The sequence below is a fragment of the Homo sapiens genome, chromosome 13 (assembly GCF_000001405.40).
Source record: "Homo sapiens chromosome 13, GRCh38.p14 Primary Assembly".
NCBI classification, from domain to species: Eukaryota; Metazoa; Chordata; class Mammalia; order Primates; family Hominidae; genus Homo; species Homo sapiens.
Genome location: NC_000013.11, coordinates 59,409,347 through 59,410,674, shown reverse-complemented (window position 1 = coordinate 59,410,674; position 1,328 = coordinate 59,409,347). Strand labels below are relative to the sequence as shown.

The following is a 1,328-nucleotide window of genomic DNA, read 5'->3' as shown; positions in this document are numbered from 1 at the left end:
GTGTGATCTCGGTTCACTACAAGCTCCGCCTCCCAGGTTCACACCATTCTCCTGCCTCAGCCTCCCAAGTAGCTGGGACTACAGGTGCCCACCACCACGCCCTGCTATTTTTTTTTTTGTTTTGTTTTGTATTTTTAGTAGAGATGGGGTTTCACTGTGTTAGCCAGGATGGTCTCGATCTCATGACCTTGTGATCCACCTGCCTCGGCTTCCCAAAGTGCTGGGATTACAGGCGTGAGCCACCACGTCTGGCTGGGTTCAAGTAATTTTGTAATTTTGCCAGAGGCCAGCCCAATAGTTTGAGCCCAAAGTGTTCTAGTTGGGAGATCTTAATGCGTCCCAGGAGGTTTTAGTAAGGTTACAGTGGTGTGTGTGTGCATCTGTGTGTGTGGTTAGACAGAGGGTGGGCTGACAATGATGGAGCTACTGCCTGAGTTTCCAGCATTCAGAAATGGCTGTGGCTGGGCTCTTCCAGAATTATCAGGTAGAATATTTCTGCCTTGAAATGAATATAAGAAGAAGTAAAAGAAAAGTGATGGGAGGAGGGAAGTCTTTTAAGGAAAGATTATTGTACTTAAGAAGACAGCCTTTCTAGTAAACCTCATTCCATACACCAACTCCCTAACCTCTTTCCTGATTGTGGATGAGAAATTGTCAAATCGTATAAACTCTACGCTTGTGGTGAAGGTGCAGGATTGTTTGCCTAGCCAGGCTGTCTGAAAATCTGAACGCACTATGCTAATAGTACTCTCATCATGCACACTGATGCTTTGTTTCCATGCCCCCAAAGTCTTTGCTATGCAAATCAAACCACAGGGGCACTTTAACATGTAAATCACATAATCTCCCTCACGTGGGATGAATTGACGGATCTTAAACTCCTTGACTGTTGGGAGGTAATGAACTGTACTTATTTAGCCAGCATTATTGCACTGGGCGTATCCCCTACACTGGGCTTTACTCGGTGGTACAGCTATACCAGGGGAGAGCTGGGGCGATTATTAATATTGCTTGTCAAAAGAATAGGAGAGGCTCAAACCTGAGAAATTCTGACTCCCTTTGGGGAGGAAAATAAAGCCCTCCTCAAAAACTGTGTTGAGTTCTGTGTCCCCCTTGAGAGGTGGTGGGTTTTTCTTCTTTGATTAGTGAATGAACACTGAATCTTCCTGGGAAAGGCTGTTTTCAGCTTGTTTCACAGGTGAAAGGAGCCAAGGAGACTTAAAGGGACATTTCAGGCCCTGCAGCTGGGAGGAAATCCAGGCTGGGGCAAGAAGCCAGGAACCTGTGTGAAGGCCGTGGAAGGCTGTGCTTTCACCAGCTGCTGCAGT

The 1,328-nt window shown here is 46.5% G+C and overlaps 1 annotated feature.

Annotated features, from left to right (window-relative positions):
• Positions 405–1,004: an enhancer, noted in NCBI's record as "OCT4-NANOG-H3K27ac hESC enhancer chr13:59983805-59984404 (GRCh37/hg19 assembly coordinates)". NCBI's record gives its function as "activates a minimal SCP1, AML or CMV promoter by ChIP-STARR-seq in naive and primed H9 embryonic stem cells {active_cell/tissue: H9 hESC(naive and primed)}" and the evidence as "EXISTENCE:reporter gene assay evidence [ECO:0000049][PMID:30033119]".